This window comes from Homo sapiens, chromosome X (assembly GCF_000001405.40).
Source record: "Homo sapiens chromosome X, GRCh38.p14 Primary Assembly".
Classification (NCBI taxonomy): domain Eukaryota; kingdom Metazoa; phylum Chordata; class Mammalia; order Primates; family Hominidae; genus Homo; species Homo sapiens.
Genome location: NC_000023.11, coordinates 21,511,722 through 21,535,717, shown reverse-complemented (window position 1 = coordinate 21,535,717; position 23,996 = coordinate 21,511,722). Strand labels below are relative to the sequence as shown.

The window sequence follows — 23,996 nt, the reverse complement described above, 5'->3', positions numbered from 1 at the left end:
CAAAATCAACATACAAAAATCAGTAGTGTTTCTATATGCCAATAACAAACTATCTGAAAAAAAATCAAGAATGCAATCCCCTTTATAATAGCTACAAAAAATACTTAGAAATAAAGTTAACCAAGGAAGTGAAAGATCTCTACAATGAAAACTACAAAACACTGATGAAAGAAACTGAAGAGAACACAAAAAATGGAAAGACATCACATTTTCATGGATTAGAAGAATTAACATTGTCAAAATGACTATACTACCCAAAGCAATCTACAGATTCAATGGAATCCCTGTCAAAATACCAATGACATGCTTTACAGAAATAGAAAAAAAATCCAAAATTTGTATGGAACCATAAAATACCCCAAATAGCCAAAGCATTTGTGAACAAAAAGAACAAAGCTGAAGGCATCACACTGACTGACTTCAAATTACACTACAAAGCTGTAATAACCAAATCAGCATTGCACTGGTATAAAAACAGACACACAGCCCAATCAAACAGAATGGAGTATTCAGAAATAAGTCCGTATTTACAGCCGGGTGATTTTTGACAAAGGCAACAAGAACATACATTGGGCAAAGGATAGCCTCTTCAATAAATAGGGCTGGGAAAACTGGATATCCATATTCAGAAAAATGAAACTAGAACCCTATCTCTCACCATGTACACAATCAACTCAAAATGGATTAAACGCTTAAATATAAGACCCCAAATTATAAAACTACTAGAAGAATACACAGGGGAAATACTTCAGGACATTGGTCTAGGCAAATATTTTTATGGCTAAGGTTTACATGCAACAAAAGAAAAAAAACAGACAAACGGGATTATATCAAACTAAAAGTCTTATGTAGAGCAAAGGAAACAATTCATCTGACAGGGAACTAATATCCAGAATATGCAAGGAACTCAAACAACTCAACAGCAATAAAAGAAATATTTTTATTTAAAAATGGGCAAATGATCTGAATAGACATTGCGTGAAAGCAGACACACAAATGACCAACTGCTATATAAAAATGCTTAACGTCGTTTATCATTAGGGAAATGCAAATTAAAACCACAAAGAGATATCATCTCACCCCAATTAGAATGGTTATTAACAAAAAGACAAAAAATAAGAAATGCTGGCAATGATTCAGAGAAAAGGGAGCTCTTATACAATATTGATGAGAATGTAAATTGGTACCGTCATTATAGTAATTAGTATGGAGAGTCTTTAAAAAACTAAAAACAGGACTACCATACGATTCAGCATTCACATTACTGGGTATAGGTCCAAAGGAAAGGAAATCAGTATGTCAAAGAGATATCTGTACTCCCATGTGTATTGCAGCATTATTCACAATAGCTAAGATATTAAAATTAACCTATGTGTTTATCAACAGATTAATGGATAAAGAAAATGTGATATATATATATATCAGAATATTACTCAGCTCTAAAAAAGAATGAAATCTTATCATTTGCTGCAACATGAATGAACCTGGAAGACATTATGTTAAGTAAAATACATCAGGCCCAGAAAGATAAATACTGCATGTTTGCATTCACGAGTGGGAACTAAAAACTTTGAGCTCATAGAGAGTAGAACTGTGGTTACTGGAGGCTGAGAATGGGAGGGGTGAGTGGGAGAGGGATTTTGAAGAGATTGGTTAATGGATATAAATTACAGCTACATGAGAGAAGTTAAGTTCTGGTATTCTACGGTGCTATAGGATGGCTATAGGTAACAATAATTTATTATATAATTTCTAACAGCTGGAAGAGAAGATTTCGAATGTTCCCAGAACAAAGAAGTGATAAATGTTTAAGGTGAAGAATATGCTAATTACCCTGATTTGATCATTACCCATTCTATATATGTATCAAAATATCACTCTGTATCCCATAAATATGTACAATTATTATGTGTCAATTTTAGAAAGTTAAAAGCCATACTGAATGAAACAAATAACTCTGCTTACTTCTCTCTTTTAAGTATGTACATATTTCTTTTCTCCTAAGTTGGTTACAAAAAGATGTCAAGTATTTATAGGCTATCTAAATTTTCTAATATTTAAAAAGTATTCTATTCTAGTCGGGGGAGATTTGTGGCACATGATGGCATTAGGGGCTTTAAAATGTAGTCCGAAGGGACTACCAATTTATAGCCATTCGAGTAAGAACTTAGTAAACATTTTTTAAAATAAAGTCATCAGTAATCAATCACTTTCATTTGGTGACTATAATTTCTCTTAAATTAAACATTAATTATCTACTTCAACACAAGTAGAAAATAGCCAGATAATACTGGGACACAAAGAAAGAAGAGTTGACATACATTACTGCCTATTTGGTAATAGGCAGTCAATTAGTACTTGTGGAATGAATGAATAAGAAAAAAAATTTCATATTATTTCATGGGGCAAGGGTAGGGATAGCAAAGATTACAGGCCTCTATACTCTATATTGTAGGTTTACAATATAGTAGAGGAGAAAAGTAAAGGTTCAAATATCTTCAATACTTAACAGTTTAATTGCCACTAGAGTAGTGTAGTTGAGGAGTTTATGTTAAAATATATTATTTATTCTTATGATTAAAAAGCACATGTACAGAGAATAACACAAGGTAAGATAAGTATGGTTCCTATTCTTTAGCATCATTTTGGGGAAAATTTTTCTTTCATACTTATTACCAAAGAGCTGAAAGGAAATAAGACATGTATATGAAGATATGTGATGACTGCTCTTTTGAGACCAAAGGAGGGAGGCATATGGCCATGACAGACAAGTGAGGTGTAGGAATAGAATGGAGGAGCTAAAAACAACTTTGCTTCTGCTCAGCTCCCATTGATCAAGTTTGAACTAATTAGCAGGGATGCTGTCCTTCCTCAAAGTATAAGCTCCTCGCTAAAAATTATTAATTTGAAAAGTGGAAAGGGAGGAGCAGAGACTTTCAATTAAATCCATTTATTCTTGCAGAAGAACCACAAGCTTGACTACTTTAAGCAACTTTATCTGCAAATCTTTCAGATATACTATAACAATTTTAAGTATTTGTGACTGGGTTACTTTTTCGGTCATGAATCAAAGATTAAAACAATCCTGTGCCCATCATAACTCTAAGCCCATTTTTGCCTTAAATACAGTATGTTCAATCCATTCTATTTAAAATCCACTTCCACTCTAATGTCAAATAAATTTCACAGCTTCTTTAAAAAATACAAAAACTGAGGTGAGAATTTCTCGAGAAAATTATATTTCTTAAAATCCCTGAGGAATATGGAGATAATTTTATTTTAAATAAGTCATGTTAACAGTAAGTATTCATTTAAAAAAACAAAAAAGAATAAAAAAACACTTGAATTTTTCCAAACTGGCAACATCTAACACACAAGAAATACATGTGATGCTAAAAAGATTTTTATAAATCATTATGAGCTACAATGTTACCTACTGTTCTTTCTTATCTTTTGAAAATCTAGAATAATTTTTAATATAATGTCTCATATTGTAGAAATTCCACTTAGAAGCACATGAGAGAGACAGATCAATTATAAAGATTCAAAAGCGCCTAAGTAACTCTCACAACCCAAAAACTTATTAAAGGAAATTGAGATTCCTATGCCAGAAATATAGTCTTATATAAACATAAAAGAAGAACTCTTACCATAAGTTGGGGTGCTTTCTCGTCTTCCTTGACTACTTGATCTTCCTTTTTCATATTCATAGCAATATAAGACAGTATCTTCTTCGACAATATTAAATCTCTTTCGATATTCCTGATCCAGAAATGAATTTGGTGATTCAGATCCCTTATGCACTGGCTTGCCCACCATATGTCCTCTGAGGTCTTCACAAGGAAGGTTTCCTTTTTCATCCCTAAAGAAAGGTTAGAGTAAAGGAGAAGATGTAGAAACATGTTAGGGTAGTAAATGGCCGAGGGTCTAAAATACTAATAATTTACTCCCATACAATATATCTCCTGACCTTTTCAAACTTTCTTTGAGATTTACAGGGCAATTTGTAATTATTCTTATTTTGCTGAAAACAAAATGGTGAGTCTCAGAAAGGCTAAACAACTTGCCTCAATGTTACACAGCTAATAACTGACAGAATTTGAAATAGGCCATGAAACTTTTAACTGTTGCCCAAGTCCATTTTTCACTGTACCATGTCATACATAAATTGCTTTTAGTGTTCAAGAGAGTAGGTATAATGTTAGTAATGTTAACTTAAGTATATAGCTTTCTTCTGCCAGTTTACCTTTGCACATAAATTGCTTTTAGTGTTTAAGACAGTAGGTATAATGGTAATAATGTTAACTTAAGTATAATGCTTTCTTCTGCCAGTTTACCTTAGCACATAAATTGTTTTTAGTGTTCAAGACAGTAGGTATAATGGTAGTAATGTTAACTTAAGTATAATGTTTTCTTCTGCCAGTTTACCTGATTGATTCTTGGTAAAAATCTGCACTGCTTAAAAATAGAAATATATTTAAGAACTACCATAAGGAGCACTGCAGCCTTAGGAATCAAATTAGCATGATATAAACTTGTATTATAAGAAATTCAAACAACATGTTATTAATTTAAAATAAACCTTAAAAGAATTATTCTCAGTATTCAAACTCTACGTATCTCATTTAAGAGTAAAAAGACATATTCCTAGAACTCATTCTAAATGGATATATCAAAATTTCATTATACATCAATGTTTCTTGAGGAGAGAAGGTAATCTGATAAAATATAGAGTTTAAGAATGGCATTTAGGGTGATGGCAAGTTGATTTTTTTCTTCTATAGGATTCTAGAGAAAAACATCTCTAATAATTTATGGGCTCCCTAAAACCTATTACTCACACACTGCAATAGGTAATTAAGCCCAGATTAAGCCCATTTTGATAGAAATAGTCCATTTGTGATTTGTTAAATTGAATCTTGTTTATTTTATGACATGTTTCACTGCTTACCTATGAACTTTTTGTCAGAAAAGCTTGTCTTCTAGAACATGACTATGAATGTAAATGCAATGTTTCCCCCCTTGTGGACCATTAGTTAAATTTCTTCCTTGTTCTTAATTGTTTCTGGTTACCCTAAACAGTGCCATGAATAAATGCTGTCAAACCAGAAAAACAATTTAATTTTATGTTAAGTGATGAGACTAAAATCTTAAATTCATAGAATAAACTAAATTATAACAAGACAGATAAAAAGAACAAATTTTTAATTAATTCCTATTATACCTTATAAAATGGTGATGAGCTTATAAAAGTAATGTGAATTCTAAAATATGAGCCCCAGTCTGGCAAAAGCCTGTATTTCTGCTTCTGTGTGTAAATGTTTAGGTTTGTCCAAATGTAGAAAACTATATTCCCAGTATTTGAAATATGTAGAAAGTAGTAAACAACATTCTCCAGACTGACAATCAGTGAGTTTTCTTATCTGTTTAACCCATCACAAGGTGTTGTTGCCATTTACATTACAATTTACTCTTTTATTTTCTAAAATAAAAGTATTGCTTATTACCACAATAGAACTATATAGATAGTTCTTAGGCAACATGAAGGAAATAAATATAAAATCCAGGCAGAATTTTCTTTCAGCTTGCTGAAAACTTTTCCTGAACAAATTGCCTGGTTAGTCCACTATCAAAAAGAAATTGAGACTGCAACTAGCTTGGAAGCAGCCTTAACGAATTTGTGGCACTGGAGTAAGGTTATGCGTATCTGTCAATGTACCAGACCTCAAGCTATGAGGCTTGTGACATGAATGTTAATGCAGCTGAAATCAGAGGGTGATTCAGCCCTATTAATACACATACTATATTTATATGGAAACATCTTGTGGCAGGAAATTGAAAGGGATGGTATTTCCTATAATAATATGAAGGAGGGACCTTATATCAACAGGGTAGATTTTTAAAACAAATCTATATAGAATGCAGTAAAATACTGTTGAATTAAGAAAAGTACCAAGCAAAACCAAACTTTTCAGTAGAATGAGTAGATACATGTATTGTGTATGTAAATGTGTGTATGTGTATGTGTGTGTGTGTGTTAATGTATATATTCACGTCATGAGTCCCTGGAGAACTCAGTGTGTTAATTCATTCTGATGTAAAGAGTTTTTACACCTTTCTTAATATTGTAAGTTAATGCACGTAAGTAATAAATCTGTGCCTTTGCTCTAGAAAGGATTTAAGGAAGCATTAAAAGAGCATTGCTTTACTGAACTAACTTTATATTTAATGGCACACAGTAGAGTTAATAGGAGAAATTAGTACTTAAATGTCATAGTTGTTCAAAGACCTATAAATTCTACATTTTTATCATAGAAAAAGAAATTTGGTTAAGTACAGAAATGTACTATATATAATGATAATGAAACTGTGTTTAGTCACAAGACATATAATAAAATGCCAACCAAATTTCACTCACTTCACATACATGAGTGTTTTATCTTTTAGAGAAAAAGGCACTTTTGCAATAACTTTTTTTCTGGATTAAATGTGTTCAAAAAATCATAACCACATGAAAAAAATTCTGCCTAATTTGAAAACTAGTCCTATCATTTTTCAAGTCTGTTTTCTTTTTGAGATGAGAGAGGTTTTATTATTTGCCATCCAAATCAAACATATATGTTCACATACCACCAAAATGCCTATCCTGTATAAACAAAGTTTTTTAATATGGGGAAAAATGTTCAGAGGAATTAAACTAAGTCCATCACATTCATCTTCAAAATAAGAAAATAGGAAAAAAGTGCCAAGGCTGTATCTGTAAAAATAATCACGACTGCAAAAAGTTTTGACTGTCAACTTAAAATCAAGCCAGAAAATGCAGACATTTATATAAGGCTGTGGTTCAAAGGGGCTTTGATGCATGGATTGTCCTGACTCCAATATCGAAAGACTTTATGACTGGGTAAGTAATAATTTGACTCAAAATGTATTTAGAATATTCTGTTAAATTATACACTGACCAACTAAGAATCAGTTGCAGTGATATAGTAAACACTATGAATTTTACAGAAAAGTATGGAGTTTTCAAGCAATACTGACAAAACAAGGGTCACTATGTTGATATTTCAATTTCACATTCTCTAATATTTTTAAATAGCATCTTCAAGCTTTTTATTGGCTTCAATATATAGCCTTTATAATATGTCCACCACACTCAGAAGACAAAACTGGATCATTTTACTCTTTTGTCCTCTTAAGTGTATTTTAAATATTTTCTGTAGAGGAGACACTTTCTTTGTAACAAGTTCCTCACTACCCAAGAGGAAAGAACATTTTAAAACTACAGAGATTTGATAAAAATAATCTTTTAATGTTTATCTGTGTATGTAGCCCTCTGAAGAATAAGGCCTTTTAAATAATTATTTGCTCTGAAATAAAAATCTTTCCAAATAAAATGTAAACAAATCATAAAAAGTCACTTCCTGTTTGGAACACACATACTTTCATTGTTCCTCATGCAAGCATATGTGGAAAATCTGACACTGTCTTAACAGAATTAAAATGCAACTAGCATTTTAGTAGGATATTGGATGGATTTGTATATTTGCTTGTAAATTGAACACAAGACTGTAAATTATATATTAGATTTATGAAATGCCAGCTTAGTAAACTATATCTTATAAGTTATGTTCCAATGGCTATATTTAATTCTCAAAGAACTAAAATATATATAAAACTAACTATAGTTATATTACTAGATGACAACACAGTATTTGCAGATAAACCATATTGCCATGCAGCATTTAGATCACATAATGTCAGTAAACCATCATATCTAATAGAATACAGATTTCTGAAACACTAAGTGTACTAAAGAATAATGGAAATTAAACACAAGGAATTTAGTTCTTTTATATATGAAAGAAATTTAATACTATTTATGGCTTGAAAACAAGAGACCTTAAATTATTGTTTTTGAATGCAGAACTAATTTAAAAACTGAATCAAGTTTTTTTGTGATTGGTATTAATGATCCCCATTTAGTGCTAGTCCTTTTCCATAATTTTTGTATTTCACAAGGCTGGATATCAGAATGCTTTTAGGAAGAATGCATTATGACATAAAGCTGTATTCTTCCACATCTGCAAGGATTTTCAAATAAGAATCGATAAATGAAATAGAGATACAGCCTCAAGAAATCTAGAAAATAGACTTTAAGGGTAATTCATTCCCTTGTAAACTCTACTTCCTGAAAGAAACATTAATGAATTAATGAAATAAAAATTTCAGACACAGGATTATTAGGGGAAAAAGACATTCTCCCTCATCATCATTACCAAATAAAATCTTCCTCATTACTTACATTTAAGAAAGCATAAAAGTTATCTATAGCTTTCTCTTTTTTTAAAAAAAAAATGTATGAAATGCTTCAAAGTAACCTGAAATTTTCTGGGGCTTTTTAGCCAAACAGCCTCACTTATTGTTTACTTATTAAAATAATCCTAATTATTATTTAATATTACTTTCTTCTTCTTTCCTATTATGAGATAGTATAAATTATTTAATGCACAGCAAGTATTTATATACAAATTAGTTATTATTATTATTAATAAACATGCATGCTCTATAATGGGAATGATTTTGCAGAATGTGTTCAGAATTCCTAACTGTGAGAAAATATTCAAGGTGTTCCTTCAGAATTGACTTTGCAGTTTATATGCTGTTAGGTTTACCTTTAGCTAGAAGCTGCCTAGGACAACGTGATAGTTTTATACCTGGGAATATATGGTTCTGCAGGAGGAGGGGGAATGTAGAGATCCTGGAGGGCAGAACTGTCTCTTTTGGTGGGTGTACTGATGGTGCTGGAAGGCGTGGCAACGCTGCTTGTGGGACTTCTAGGTATAAGAGGCTGGTTAAAATGAAAAAGAAAATACATACGCACACAAACAACACACAAAACAACAACAACAACAACAACAACAACAACAATGACACATAGTTATCATTTTAAAATTATCTATTTCTGCAGTTTTTGAACTTGGCTGAAATCAAGAAACATGTTATTTAGTACATGGATATTCCTTTCAATCTCCAAAAACAAACAGTATGGTAAAGGTTTCCACTTCACTCCCAACTCACCTTAATCTATGGCATAAACACTGAAATACTATTTATAAAGCAAAAATACCATGCAGTGTTTCAAAATGGGAAGATTTATCTCACAGTTAGAAACTTATTTAAATTAAATTAACTTTGTCAGAATCCCACCTTTAAAAGAACAATAATGATGAGTAACTCAAAAGAATTAGCTCACTCACATCCTGATTGATGTATGAGAAAGCTATTTCAGATCTTCTCCCAAAAAAGATAAACCATATTTCTAGGTTAGTAAAATGTTACAGATGCTCAGAAAAGGTTACAAAAGTGGGAGTATGAAAGGCCAATACGAGAGTATTTGCTAGAAAGACATATTTTTTCTGTCAAAATAAGCATAGCTGTCTTCTCAAAGCCATTTTATGGTACATCATCAAAAGTATGGTAATTATGTAACACAATCATTTCACCATTCATAGGCACACACATTTATCTATCATTTAAAATAATCTTTAGTTGCATATATAGATCTCATTTTCAGGCCTGTATTTAAGTATTAAATAGGAGGTTGTTTTCTTAAAGTTAAGATAATATATATACTGAATTAAACAGTACATGAGGATGCATTAACTTAAGAGCACTCCCAATTCCAAGCTTCACAGCATTTGAAAATAATCTAGTGGTTTGTGAAATTATCCTGAAGTGAAACTAAAATTCACAAGTTTTATGTTTATCTTACAGATCTTAATGATTAGCTATGTATACAATTAACACATTAAAAATAAAAATTTTAATGCAATCACAAACACAAAAATAATGATCACAAATGAACTGTATCTTCACATGACAAGATGTTGCCATTTTAGCCAGTATGAAAACTCTCTTAGCATATTTATATAGACTCACAGTTCTATTGTTTTAATATGCATTGCTAGACACTCAAAAAGTGGCATATTACAACTATTTTGTATTGTGACAATACTTTTGTACAGATAAACAAAATTCGCTTAAAAAGCCAAGCATAAATACAATGGAAAGTACAATGTAAGTCACTGGGGTAGGCTACATAATTTAGGACTCAGTTCACGGTTTTGACCTTCCCTGTTATACAGCTCACCTTAATAGCTTGAAATCATACATCCTACCAAAATGACAGTTAAATTCTAATGTAGTGAAGTAGAAATTAAAGAAAGAGAGAGAGAAAGGGAAAAGGAATGATAATGTAATTTGGGAGTTTACAATATTCCACCTTATACGATATTTTTAAAAAGGTCAGAAGTTTTACATGTTAATTGAAGAATTGTAAGCTATTATAAAATTACACAGTAAAGATTATGTTTTACTATGCTAATTTTGGAATAGGGTCCAGTTCAACTATTCCTGTCTTTTAGAAACAAAACTTGAGGCAATGGGAAATCCTGAGATTATACAGGTAATCATAGGAGTCACCTGTACTGATGAATACCATAAATCCCAAGGAAATAAATAACTATTTTATTTCTAAGGATGCATTTCATGCCTCTACAACAAATCCTTGAATGGCAGATTCAACAATACATACACACAGTCACTGTGATGTGACTCTGTTTATAACTGTTTTCCTCTCTGTCAGGACATCTTGGTTTTAAATACAGACGATGCTAAACAATAAATCTGACCAAAAGTTCACCATAATAGAAATGTAGCAAAGAAAACATTCACTTAACAGAATATTATTCTCCAATTCTTTGAAACAGATACACTGTGAGAGAAAAACTAATATTCAGTATGCTTTTTAAATGCTCTAATAGCTTTCTGACTTTAAAATATCCTAACACTGTAAATGAACTTAAAATCAAGTTCTAAAAACATAAGCATTTAAACATAATCAAACTTAAATTTTTATTGTCTTTCCTCTCGCCTGGAGTCACTATTTCTATTTTGAGGACTTCTCTTCTTTACTTTTACCATCTACAGAACTAAAGATAATTTTTCCTGGTTAGTACCTACCCTTCTTCTCCCCAAACAAAAAGGAGGGAAGGAAATAGTAGTAGTCAATGGTTACAAGCATATTTTAAAATACATACACCTGAAGTGTGAGGTAATGACCAAGGGAATATTTTATTCTGCCTGGACTATTACCAGAATTGTCTACCTAGGGTACTTGTGTCTTTTCCCTTCCAAGAAATGTAATTATTAGCCCTCAATTTCCTTCAAACTGCTATTTCTCTAGGTTTCTATTTTTAGCAAACAGTTCCTATCAATGTCATCAGTTAATGTTATTAGTTAAATTAGCACATACATAGAGGGGAAAGACTCTTAAATATGCTTAAATACATAACAAGTTTGATTATGCCAAGCTGGTTCAATTAATTGAACTGGTTGGAAAAAATACTACTTCAGAGAAAAAAGAAATTAGTCAATCCTATTGCTTAACTCATCTGGCTTGTTATTTTATTGACTGGTAAGTCACAGAAAATATTTCAACTGGTTTATCATGGAAATACCATCTGGCTCATCAGTATGCCTTGTACCAAGTAAAGCTCATTGTAAATATTTGATATATTCAGCATATTTCTCTCTACTAACTGTGCTCTTTTTAACAAGCTAATCCAAGCTAAATAATAAACGTTCTTTTTGAGACTCATATTAAAAAAACTAGACATTAAGCAATGGAAAAATAAAGTTTAGTAAAGTACAACCTTCATGGGAAAATAAAAATAACCACTTAACCCAAAGGGGTCTTTGTGATAATTTAAAATTATAATCTCTAAAAATTTTCTAACTTTGGACAAAAATTGAAAGAGTAAAAAATCAAATGACTAAATGAATGAAAAAGGCATTAAAGAACATTAGAAAGACAAGAAAAATTTGACTAAATCAAGTACAGAATAAATGATGCAATTAGCTAAAATTATCAGTGAGAAATTCCTAGTTGTAACAAGTGGCATTAAAAATACACCTATCACCAATAGCCATTTAAGTTTGTGAAAATGCACAGAAAGTAACAAATTTAGCTTCCCTCAACTTGAAACACAGAATTCTTTCAGCATTGAGGTTTTAATAGGCATATTCCTTAGATTGAAAAAAAATCGAATGAGGAGGATATAATACAAAAAGATAGCTTCTCCTATCCTGGCAACATTTACTTATAATCATTTGTTTATAATACAGTGTAAGAAAAGTAGTTACTGTTGCACTACAAAGAAATTTCAATTTAAGAAAAAAGGTAGAATTAAAGGGTAACATTCTTTTATCATTTTGACCTTCTCCGGTATTGACAAAACATGAATGGGAAGAAAATTAGGAACTATCAACACTTATGGATAAAATGGATACAATACAAAGGGACTGCTTTAGGATTACATCTTGTTATTTAAAGTAAACATGAAGCTTCAGCATAACTTGATCTTCTGTGGTATGTAATCAAGTATGACATGGATCCACTTTTGATCCCATCCAAAGGGGTTTGTTTTCTGGAAGGACCTTGTCATACCATTTAGTTTTCATGTCAATGGTCCTTTTGAGATGAAGCTCTCCTTCCACATATTCAATGAGGCTCCAACAGGGAAGACACATTTACATGTATGTTGTGACTCTTGTAAAACAAGTCTATGATAGATTTCTGGGGGCACTGGCATGCATCTCTTAAAATGTCCAAATCCTAAATAAAATCATCATATGTATCTCTTCAAACATACATTTATAACCTTAGGTCAATTGGTGATAACGTACTACTGTCAATTTGCTAGTGTTAGAAATCTTCTAGGTAAAACTTGTATTTTTCATACTGTCAGTTTGAATGTATAAATACTTTAAAATTGTGTCACAAAATAGGGTATGACACAAACTTTCCACTGAATTATGAGTGATAACTTTAGCAATAATATCTTACTCATCCAGCTTAAACATCATTGGAAGATTGTGATTGTAAAATAAAATTTTGTAAGCTAAAGCTTTAAATCCTCTGATGGTTGAGGTCTCACTTTAAAGCCTCTGATTGCTGAGGTCTTTTCTTTGTGCGCCCCAATTTTAACATCTCTAAGGTAACTGAGCACATATAGAAGGTATTGGTGTATCTGTGAAATCTCTATAGTCTTAAAGACCATGAGAAAAGAACTTCTATACTTAAGAAACTACATTTGATGTTGAGGTTTTCCCCAAAACATTTTACATTTTAACATCTCTGGGCAAGCATATCTTAATTTAGTTGTCCCTCTTTCTAGTACGTGACCCAGCTTTGATACAGCTTGAATGAAACCAATGACATAAAGACAACTCCAGCGTTAAAGATTAAAACAGTGCATTACACATTTATGTAGTTAGCTCTAAAATTCACTAATGCCAAGATCACACAGAACTTGCTTTGCCTTCCAGGGGGGAAATACCCACTGAAATACAAATAATTACATCAAGTATAAAACCTGGCCATTTATTTTATTCACTCTTGGGGATAAACACAGACTCAAATGGATCACAATACCCCATCATTCTAGCACAGAACATTCACATAAGTCCTTACTCAGTTCAAACACATTTTTAATTCCCAACACTAGTACAAGAACATTGTTTTATATTGACTCTCTTAATAATCTAAGCAAATGCTTCAGAGAAAATGTATCCTGAATTTTAAGCAGCAAGAATTCACATATAATTTTTAGTTTCTTGACCATGTAAAGAAGGTTAGATCTAATTTGGAAAATTATTGGGAATACTTTTTTCTGGCCAAGCTTTTCATAAGTAGTCAATTATTTGAAAAGAACTGAAGCAAGGGAAATACATATATTCAAAATTCTCCCACTCTCAGTTCTTTCACAGCTTTTTCTAGAATGCAAATTTATAAATACAAAAGGTTTGAGTATCCTTTTATAAGCATATAATTTTTCCTTTCCTGTCAGAATACAGAGAAAACAAGTGTTTTTTTCTGACCACAGATTTGATCAGAAAACCATATCTACCTAGGCTTAAAAATACAGATATATATGCCTAAAACATGTATTACTTATAAAGCATATAACTAATAAAGACTTAAGAGTCACACTATAAAATGGCTTTTTCCATCAAATCATGAAATACTGCACATTGTATTGAGGCTAACACTAGTGTCTTTAATCCTGCATTGTCCAGTCTTATGGGCATAATTAAACTGCAACATTAAAACTGGACTTCCATTTTCTCAAATTACAGTAAACATCATTTTGGGGATGTTAACTAAAGAAAGAATGGACAATTTTTACATTATAGGTGATTATCTGTAGCCACTATTAAAATCTTGAAAGCATGTGGCTCAAAAATACAAATGTGACTTAGATCCTTTGACTGATTTGCTTAAAGACTGGTGAGCTAAAATTTGACAATTACTTGCATGTATTTACTCATTTGAGTATGTAAAACATACAATTGCTTCTGGCTCCCAGTCAGCCCAATTACATTTTTAGTTAAAAATTGATTTTCTTCTCTAGTGCCATGCCTAATACTAGTTCTTGCTCTCCTTAAAACAAAACTCTCAGAAACAGATAAATTTTTTTGTCACTAATGTTTTTTTTTCAGTCACAACGACCTGCAACTTGAATATTAAATTTTATTGTTACTTATGTATTTTGATTTTTCCAGAATGACTTTAACCATTCATATCTCTATGTATATGAAATCAAATGCAATCAACATTCTCCAGTTGTTACACCAGTTGATAAACAAAATCAACTACTATGACTCTTTTCTTTCTATTTTCTGCTCAAATGTATTTAAATATGCTCTAAAAATGGCATCAAGGTAATGTTAAACAATAAAATTTAAATGGAAAAACACAAAATCACAAAATCATACAAGTAACTATGGCAGCAAAATGAGAGATTTATAAATGAGAATACAATTTAGGAACATAATTATAATGTTACAGCTTGATGTTATTTTATATAAAAATGTCTTGAACAATATATGTCATTATGTTGAGAATTCCAGCACTGATTTTAGTGATCATTTCTGAGATGCATTCTCACCAAAAAAAAAAAAAGCTGGGTTTTTAAATGTTTTAAAAGTCATTGATTCCCAGTGATGATTCCAAGGAACATTCTTGGCAGTGTCCAGATAATTCTTCCATACATCTCTCATAAGAAGAAAAGGACACCACCCATCTATGCTCTTGGCCTACACATATTAATTTAAAACCACAAACATCTAAAAATATACCTTGAGGTTTATCCACAATTCTTTGTTTTTTTTTCATTGAATTAGAAGAAATTGATGATAAGCAATCACCATGCCTACCAAAATGCAGGAAATTAGTAGAGTGCCACTGAAAAGATGTTTTGAAAAGCAGCTCTCAGAAAGCAAGGAATCCCTGGTTTTTCTTAGAATAAGAGATTCTATCTCAGATGAGACATCTCTGTTTTTACAAATGGGTGAAAATGACAACAGAATTAAAGCTTCCAGATATTATTAAATTTGCTTGTAGTATTTGACTAAGGGATGGTTAAGTCCTTACGTTCTATCACAAAATATTTGAGAAATCAGGAATTCATCAAAAGAGCTGCCAATTTAATGAAATGTACTAATGAAATTGCTCTGTGAGCATGAAGTTGAATTGTATGCTTCTGTTTATTTGGCTATAATTTCATCAATGAATTTCAAAAGAAAATCCAAATCAAAATTCATCATTGTAGTTAATCAATATTGGAAGTCACTATGCTTTTAGTATTTTTAGAAATAAAACTACTACTTTAATTAAAACGTGGTATTCTTTGACAATCTTCTATCTTAGGATAGATAAGGTTGTTTTATTTGTATAGATAAAAACGATTCCTTATAAGTTTAAAAAATCATTATTCCTTATGTTAGGATAAACTTGTTTATTAAAAAGATACATGTATCAGTGCCTACCTCCATACTACTACAAACTTTCCTATATTTTAATCTATAAATGCTATCAGGTAAATTAAGCCTGGGATAGTATTTTCAAAAAGGTTAAATAGACATATTGAGTTAAATAAACGCCACAGATTATTTCCTTTTGTATCCTCTATTCTAAATAATTCTTGGTAGACTACTGGTACACCCTATGAAAAAAGAAATAACCTCATTTCCATTTTTTCAAGTTTGAATGCTGAAGATTTGTATTTGGATGAGCTGATGGGCATTTTGGCTCCAGTGTATTTCTGCACCTACCAGAAGGAAGAATACAATAAAAATGGCACTCCTGTCTATGTAGAGGATTGTTACTACATTTAGCAGTTACGTTTCACATCTGAGGTAGCTCCTTAGGTACTATGAAGAAAAGGTGACCTCAGATAAAGTCATGATGTTATGAAAAACTGCCTTCAAGATCTTTTCATCTCACTATTTCTTTAACTTTTCCTGCTCTGGAGGCAGTGTACCTTCACCCTCCAGATCCTGGTACCTTGAGATTTTGTCCATCTTCTGTACCAAAATCTATAATCTATAAAAATTTTGACTAGTTTTCATTATGCTTTCAGGTGTCTTTGCATTTTAGCATAAGCCAGAACTTTAAGATCAATGAAGAATTCTGTAATGGTTCAATTTCAGGTCTTCTTCATCAGGGAGATTCGGTAGTGGTGCGGTATGTTAGAGGACTTACCCATTGTCCTCACTCCTAAGACCTTGTTTTAGCCACTAGAAAATATTTAATTAACACCAATACTCTTTCCTCTGCTCTGTAAAAAGGCAACAACTGAAGTAATTTTCAAAAATGTTAGAAGCAGTCTCCCCTCCCCCAACCAATAGTATTATTTATCTACGGATGGTTGACTTTGGCCAATAGCTTTTAGTTGAACCAAATTCAGCTGAAATGACAAATTTAGAAAAATGTCAATATATACAGCACTTATATAATGCTGATTTCCTCTTTTTCAGATTTCAGCATTTTGAAAAAGTAAATTTACAAATACATGCAGCATAGCTGAATAAGCGATGACAAATAAAAATAATTAGTGATCTGATGAGGCACATTTCTCAGAATTTGGAATGGATCTAGAAATAGTGCCTGAAGAGTAAGGCACTTACAGGGTAAGGAATGACATGACGTAATTTTTAAAATTAAAGTCCTTTTTCTCTAGGTTTGAATACCTACACCCAATGTATATGTAACAAAAAAGTTGGTCTTTCAATTATTTTAGCATTTTATATGAAAATGATTCTTAACTGGGTACTGCCATTACCTTAACTCTCCACTTCAGTTTGTGCATGTGGAAAAGAATATAACAGGGGAATAGATTATAAAAGCATGTGCTAGAGATATTCCCTCAAACCGAGTGCATGGATCAACAAGAAACTAGGGTATTTTTGGTGCTTAATGTGAAATATGAGGGACTAAAGAAGAGGTATTAAATTTCACTCACATATACAGAGAAGAAAACCTACTGGCTGAAAATACAGGCCTCTTTTTCAGGGTTCCCACACCCTTACACTTTGAAGAAGGATCTTTAGGGAAGACATGGCAATAGGAAACTCTAGGGGGAGCAAAGCAAATTATAATGCAGTGAAAAAAAATAATGTAATGGGAAAGTCTGATCTACTCATCTATGACTTAGATAATGAGGCAAACATTGACCTCTGAACTGTAATGATCATCAAGTATCTTTTAAAATAAACATATATGCAAGTCAAATGGATTTGGACATATTAATACAGTTTTACATATATTAACTTGAAAAATAGATTCACATTAAAATTTTAAAGGCCATAATGTTGACACATATATGTGTTTTTATATTAAGTATAATGCCAACGGCCAATAAGTAGTAAAGTTTTAAACAATGAAAAATCATTATAATCTATAAAGCCATTCATGTATAATGGAGAATTTTGATTCTTAGGAAAAAAAATCTATGAATAATAAAAGGTACTAACATAGAGCTTAATAACAATTTACATAGCAGTGACAACAATGCATTTCATATACTGCTTTCCTTTTTAATATGAATAATGGGCCATGTTCCAGTTCAATGGGCCTATTTTTTTTTAATTAACTTCTAAGAAAAGGTAATAGTCTCTTATTTTTAAAATGTACGTTTCGTGAAGGACAAAAATTACTTAAGTTTAAAGATTATATCCTGACTGAAATAGAAAAAAAATCATTACATCCTTGCCTTTCATCAATCAGAATCATATTTTTATAACTTTCAAGATAACTCAATAAATATATTATCAATGTTAAGAGTAACGTTTCATGCTGAAGAGTGATGTTTCATGCTGAAGAAAAATGCAAAAATTCTAGTGCAACAATTTCCCTATTTTTGCCACCTTACAGGGTGGAAAGAGAAAAATGATCAATCAGGAGGAATGTACAAGGTACATTTTTTTTTAAGAGATGGAGTCTCTGTTGCCCAAGCTGGAGTGCAGTAGCATGATCAGAGCTCACTACAGCCTCATACTCCTGGGCTTACATGATCCTCCTGCCTCAGCCTCCCACATAGCTGGGACTACAGGCGCATACCACCATGCCCGGCTAAGTTTTTAATTTTTTGTACAGATGGGGTTTTGCTATGTTGCCCAGGGTGGTCTTGAACTCCTGGCCTGAAGTGATCCACCCACCTCAGCCTCCTAAAGTGCTGGGATTACAGGTGTGAGCCACTGCGCCTAGTTTGGACTAGGTGCATTTTAATTACTAATATAACATTTCATTTTCCTACTGTTTATAAATTACTATTACTATTTTATGAACTGATTTAAAAGAATTCTATAAACTATCATTTAGCTTCTTCTAAAAGAGTATGTGGGTATAACATAAAATAGAAGATCATATCATAAAAACGAACCATCTTATTTTCATTCTATCCATATTTTGGCATGAAATAAATTGTGACATTTTGGAATTATGCTTTAAATGTTTACAAATTAAGGCAGAGTTGTTTTTCATTTGGGTTTTAGATACTCAAGGATTTCATCACAATTAAGCCTATTAGAATAGCTGTGAAGAGATCATTTCACAAACAACTTTTCAAAAGCATACAAGATTAATCCATATGCTGCTGAGATGAGGCACAATAAAGAAGCATTACTGAGATAATCTATGGCTAAAATGATGGTGTATGACTTATGATTAAGCTTCATTACCTGCAGAGCAAGGGGCTTCCATCTCATATTTTTCAGTAAAGCTGGTGCTGAGGTAAGCATGCTCTGAGGTCGCTTTTTCAAAGTTAAGATAACACCACTCGGGTCCTCTCGTAGTGCATTCACCAAATTTTTCAACTGCCACCCCACCTGGTAACCAGCAAAATCATTACAATAAAATTGAGGTACAGTATTCAAAGATTTAATGTTCTCCCCCTTTAATAAGATTAGTAAAAAAAAAAGTCACATAATTGGTGTACCATCCTATCAATTTTCAGGAGATACATACTCAATAAATTTTATCTTTGAATTGATTAACCATATTATTGCATTAGTCCATATCATTACCAGACAACATAATGGACATTTACCATGTCAAATCAAAGACTAAAATGGTATCCTACCAATGGAGTAATTCAGAATGTAATGAAATTATGTCACCATTAATGCTGCTCAGCTGCTAGGTCTAGATCCAAGCTCTGTTCACAAGTACAGTTAAAAAATCTATATGCCTGAAAACAAGGATTTGGCAATGTCCTGAGCTTACAAACTACACCACATGCTTTCTCATCACCATCTTTTAGAGATAAGTGGTACCAGTGTCTCTAAATTAGACTGATATTTTACTACCAATAGCTGGTACTGACACACCAAGGCAACATTCTTACGCATGGACAATAGCAGCAATACAATAAACCTTTTACCATGCTATAAAGATAGAACAAAAATAACAAGATAATACTACTCCAATGAAGCAGCTATTGGAATGTGTTCCAAACAACCCTATAAACTTAAAATATAACGTGCTAAATTTAATGAAGCCATTCTATTTGAATATCACCTAAAAACATATTGTGTAATTAAATCAAAGTACTTGATAAATGTCTTGAAATCGGGCTCAACTGCATCCCCTGTTAAAATTACTTCACTCTTCATCCTTTAAAAATTCTGAACATAGAATAATTTTTGTTACTTTGCTTTCAAAACGGACTAGTGATGCAGTATCAGGTAACTGAAATCCTAGAAACTATGCTTTAAAGAAACACATTAAAATGTCTATTATTCCAAGTTTTTTTTAAAAAAAATTCACATTTAGAAGAGAGAAGAACCTTTTATCCCAAACCCTAATGGATTATACTTTTCCAGGATGTGTTACATAAATACACTAGGTCAAAATTTATCCTGGATTGTAAGCAGGATTTAGCAAATGGTCTCAACAGTGATAACAGTTTCTTTCTAGGCATCCAAGTTAAAGATAATTGGTGCCCTTTGTCTAATAATAACCATGTTTTTGCCTGGAAGATATTTGTCAAGCTGGAGAGAATGAGCACTTCCACCAAAAGCAGCACAGACCCCTAGGCTATGAAGAAGAGGTAATCTGGAATTCAGCTATTATAGAATGGGGACTTTGGTATATTTAATAAGCATTCATCTAAATTGCAACCTCAACTATAGCTGAATTGAGTGTTGGTGAAGTTAGAACAAACAAGAAGTGAGATGTTATAATACTTAAAATCTCAGGGAGTCTCAGATATGAATCAAAATGATCATTATACTTGGATAACCTGAATGAGACTGCCAGTTTTTTTTTTTAAATCACATTAATGTGGATCAACTACAGTAATGGAACTGGTCAAATGCCTCCCCTTATATGTAAGTGGGGACTATTATGTGCCCAAAGGTATATTACATTGATTCCGATTCCTCTGATAGCTGTGTAGTATCCCTACAGCCAAGAGTTAAAGCAAAGGGAGTTCAAATCCAAGGGTTCATTTTGCTTGCCAAAAAAATATGAATGCACACTTTGAATTACAAGTTTGGAGGGAGAAAACATACTACTTATACAAAGAGTTTAGGAACAACTTATTAATGATAACCACATTTTGTAACTTAATTATTCACTCAAATAATTGCTAACTAAAGTGGTCAATGTGATGGCCACAATCTTTTTTCCAGCATAACTATTCTCAATGATTTATACATTGATTTCTACTCACCAATTTCTTTTCATTTTACTTATTATAAAATTTGAAGATTTTTAAGGCTAGATGGTATTTTCCTGTGAAATTTTCAGTGCAATTTGATTCATCCTATTCTTTCACACTTTCTACATGCTCTTTTTAAGTAACAATTCCAAAAAACAGAATTGCTTTTCTATCAGAAAGTAGAATTGGTTTCTGACAAGAAAGTTCATTTGGGTGGATTTTAATTTTACAGCTGATGTTATTTAATGGCAGAAAATTTGGGTATCTAATTTTACTATTTTTAAATCAGCCTTTTATTATTCACATGACATTAACAATGTTTTAAACAAGAGCAAAGAAATATACATCAAAACTGTATAGTATATATCTTTGGCTCCCAAATTCTACTTCCACTACCATAAGGAAATGATTGGATAAAAGCACAAAAATAAATGTGCAACATATGTGTCACAGTATTGTTTAAATCAACCAAAACCTGTACATTATGTAAATGTATCCATTAGTAAGGGATATAAAAATTGTGTGAAAAAAGTAAGTTCCAAAATAGCAAACATAATTTTATTCCACTTTTGTTAAAGAATGTACATAAATATAGAAAACACCATTAATGGTGGTTAGATTAAAGGGAGTAAGGACTTGCAATACATACTTTCTTCTTTATACTTTTATTTCCTAAACTTTTGGCAATAAGCATGAGTTACTCTTCTAAACAAACAAATAAACCAACAAAATACATGAACCTAGTGTATGAATAGCAATATTCCAATTAGAAAATAATAAATTTTATGAATTACCTAATCAGGACTGTTTGTTATGGATGGAAAATTTCCACCAAAACTGCAGAACCAGAAAGGCAACACTACTATTTAAAACACTAAAAGGTGGTGATGGAGAAACAAAATCTGCTCTATGCATTATACCTTGATGATTGACAAGAGAGAATATAAATTTATTATTCAGGTGTACTCAATAAGTCAAGATTTTATAAGTCTCACTATGTTGCCAGGGCTGGGCTCTAACTCCTGGGTTCAAGCAATTTCCCCATCTTGGCCTCCCAAAGTTCTGGGATTACAGGCATGAACCACCACGTCCAGAGATGAAAAATATTCTAATAGAAAAAGATATCCAAAAAAGAAATTGGCTGACTTGTGAAATAGATCAATACCAAGAGATGTTTCAATATTCTTGCATAGGTCAAATAATTAGGTAACTTTCAGTCACAATACATTCCAACTCTAAAACATAGAGTGGGTAGAAACATGAAAATAGATGACAAAGATTAGTTTGAGTAAAATAACATGGTTCCGTTACATCTCTGCCTACCTGTCCTCCATCTTTTCTTCCTCTTCCCTACCAATAAGTGTACCTGTTTCCTCTAGGCTAAGTGTTACACATCTTTCTAATATTTCATGCTGTCTTCTTACAATAATCTCTTTTAAGAGCTTTCACCAACAGCTTCCTGCATGATTCCCAAATCTTTCTACCATTCCTGCTTCCTATCAATAACTCTAGTCATATTTCCAACTGTTTAGCTTGTCCACGTTAATAGCTACCGAATAATCGCAAGCATCAACAATTCACTGTGCTAGATTCTTCATATCTATGTTACATTCTTTTTATTTATATTTTCATTCTTACAAAAGCCTAATGAGGTAAACTATTAAACCCAATTTACGTGTGTAGAAACTGAAGCAAAAAGAGATTGTTTTCTCGGCCAAGATTACAAAAATAGTAAGTGGTGAAGCCAGAACTTACATTAATGTCTTTTCAATTCTAAAGCACAGTATCTTCCCTTGAATATCCACTGGTAGCTTACATGAATACAAGACTTTAAAAATCAAACTCATTATCTCTTTACTTTCATTCACCAGAAAACAAAACAAAACAAAACAAAAAAACCTCCCTATCATCCTCTAAAGTCGGGAGTTTGGAGTCACCTATGACTTTTCTCCTCTTTTTAATCTATTTTGTGTCCTAACAAATAGATCCTAGCAACTAATGCCTCTTCTCACTGCCTTAGTTCTGGCTTGGATACCTACTGCTAGACTTAAACCAGAATCCTAACCTGTCTTTCTGCTTCTAGTCTTTTGCAGCTCCAAAATACTGCTACAGTGTAGAAGTTTTCTATGCTTCAAAACCTTTAATAGCTCTCCAAAGGCCCAACTAAGGAACAAATAACCAATCCTCAAACAGGTCCTTTGTCGGTATAGTTGATCACAGCTTTTTCTCAGATTACTTTTCTTCAATGTGGTTCTCAAACTTTAGCATGTGTTAGAATCACCTTGAAGCCTTGTTAAAAGAATGCTGAGTTTTAACCCCCAGAGTTTTTGATCCAGTAGTTCTGGAGTGGGGCCTGAGAATTCCTCCCCCGACCCTTTATTTCCTAATACAAGTTTCCAAGTGAGGCTGATATTACTGGCCTAAAGAGCCACAATTTGAGAACCTCTGTAATAGATTATGAGCTCCTTGAAGGCAGTGACTTGCTCATGTCTAGATTAGTTTAGGTGTTTCATATGTTTTTAAGACAACTCTTAAGTATTTATTGTGTGTCTTCCATGTAGTATGAATACAACAGTGAATGCAGCACAGTCTGTACCTCATTAAGGAGCAATAAACAGTTACAATGCAGTAAGATAAGTACCTCAATAGGGTGAATACAGAGTGCAACAGGAGCCCCCAACAGGGGCACCTAACCCATCCTTGAGGGTCTAATGAAGGTTTCCAATGAGTTTAAGCCAAATTCCTTGGGAGTTGGACAGGTGAAGAAGATGTGGAGGTTGAGGGGGTAAACAAAGCTCTGAGGCAAAGTATCACAGGTTTGAGCAACTTTCAGTAGTTCAGTACACGTAGATGACAGAACAAGGGAAGGAGTAATGAGGCAGGAGAAACACACAGAGTTCAGATGATTATAAGAGGCTTTTAGAAAGT

General features: G+C 32.3%; 1 protein-coding gene across 8 annotated transcripts in view; it reads right to left on the bottom strand.

Moving 5' to 3' along the window:
* Positions 1-23,996, bottom strand: part of CNKSR2 (connector enhancer of kinase suppressor of Ras 2) — a 280,272-nt gene that overhangs the window by 118,972 nt on the left and 137,304 nt on the right. For 4 of the 8 annotated variants that reach the window (NM_014927.5, NM_001168647.3, NM_001168648.3 and 1 more), the window contains exons 9-11: positions 19,087-19,233; positions 8,718-8,851; positions 3,651-3,862 (exon numbers count right to left, since the gene is read on the bottom strand). In NM_014927.5, coding sequence (NP_055742.2) covers positions 3,651-3,862; positions 8,718-8,851; positions 19,087-19,233 — 493 coding nt within the window. The remainder of the gene's footprint in view (positions 1-3,650; positions 3,863-8,717; positions 8,852-19,086; positions 19,234-23,996) is intronic. The other 4 variants (NM_001330770.2, NM_001330772.2, NM_001168649.3 and 1 more) reach the window with 1 other exon arrangement.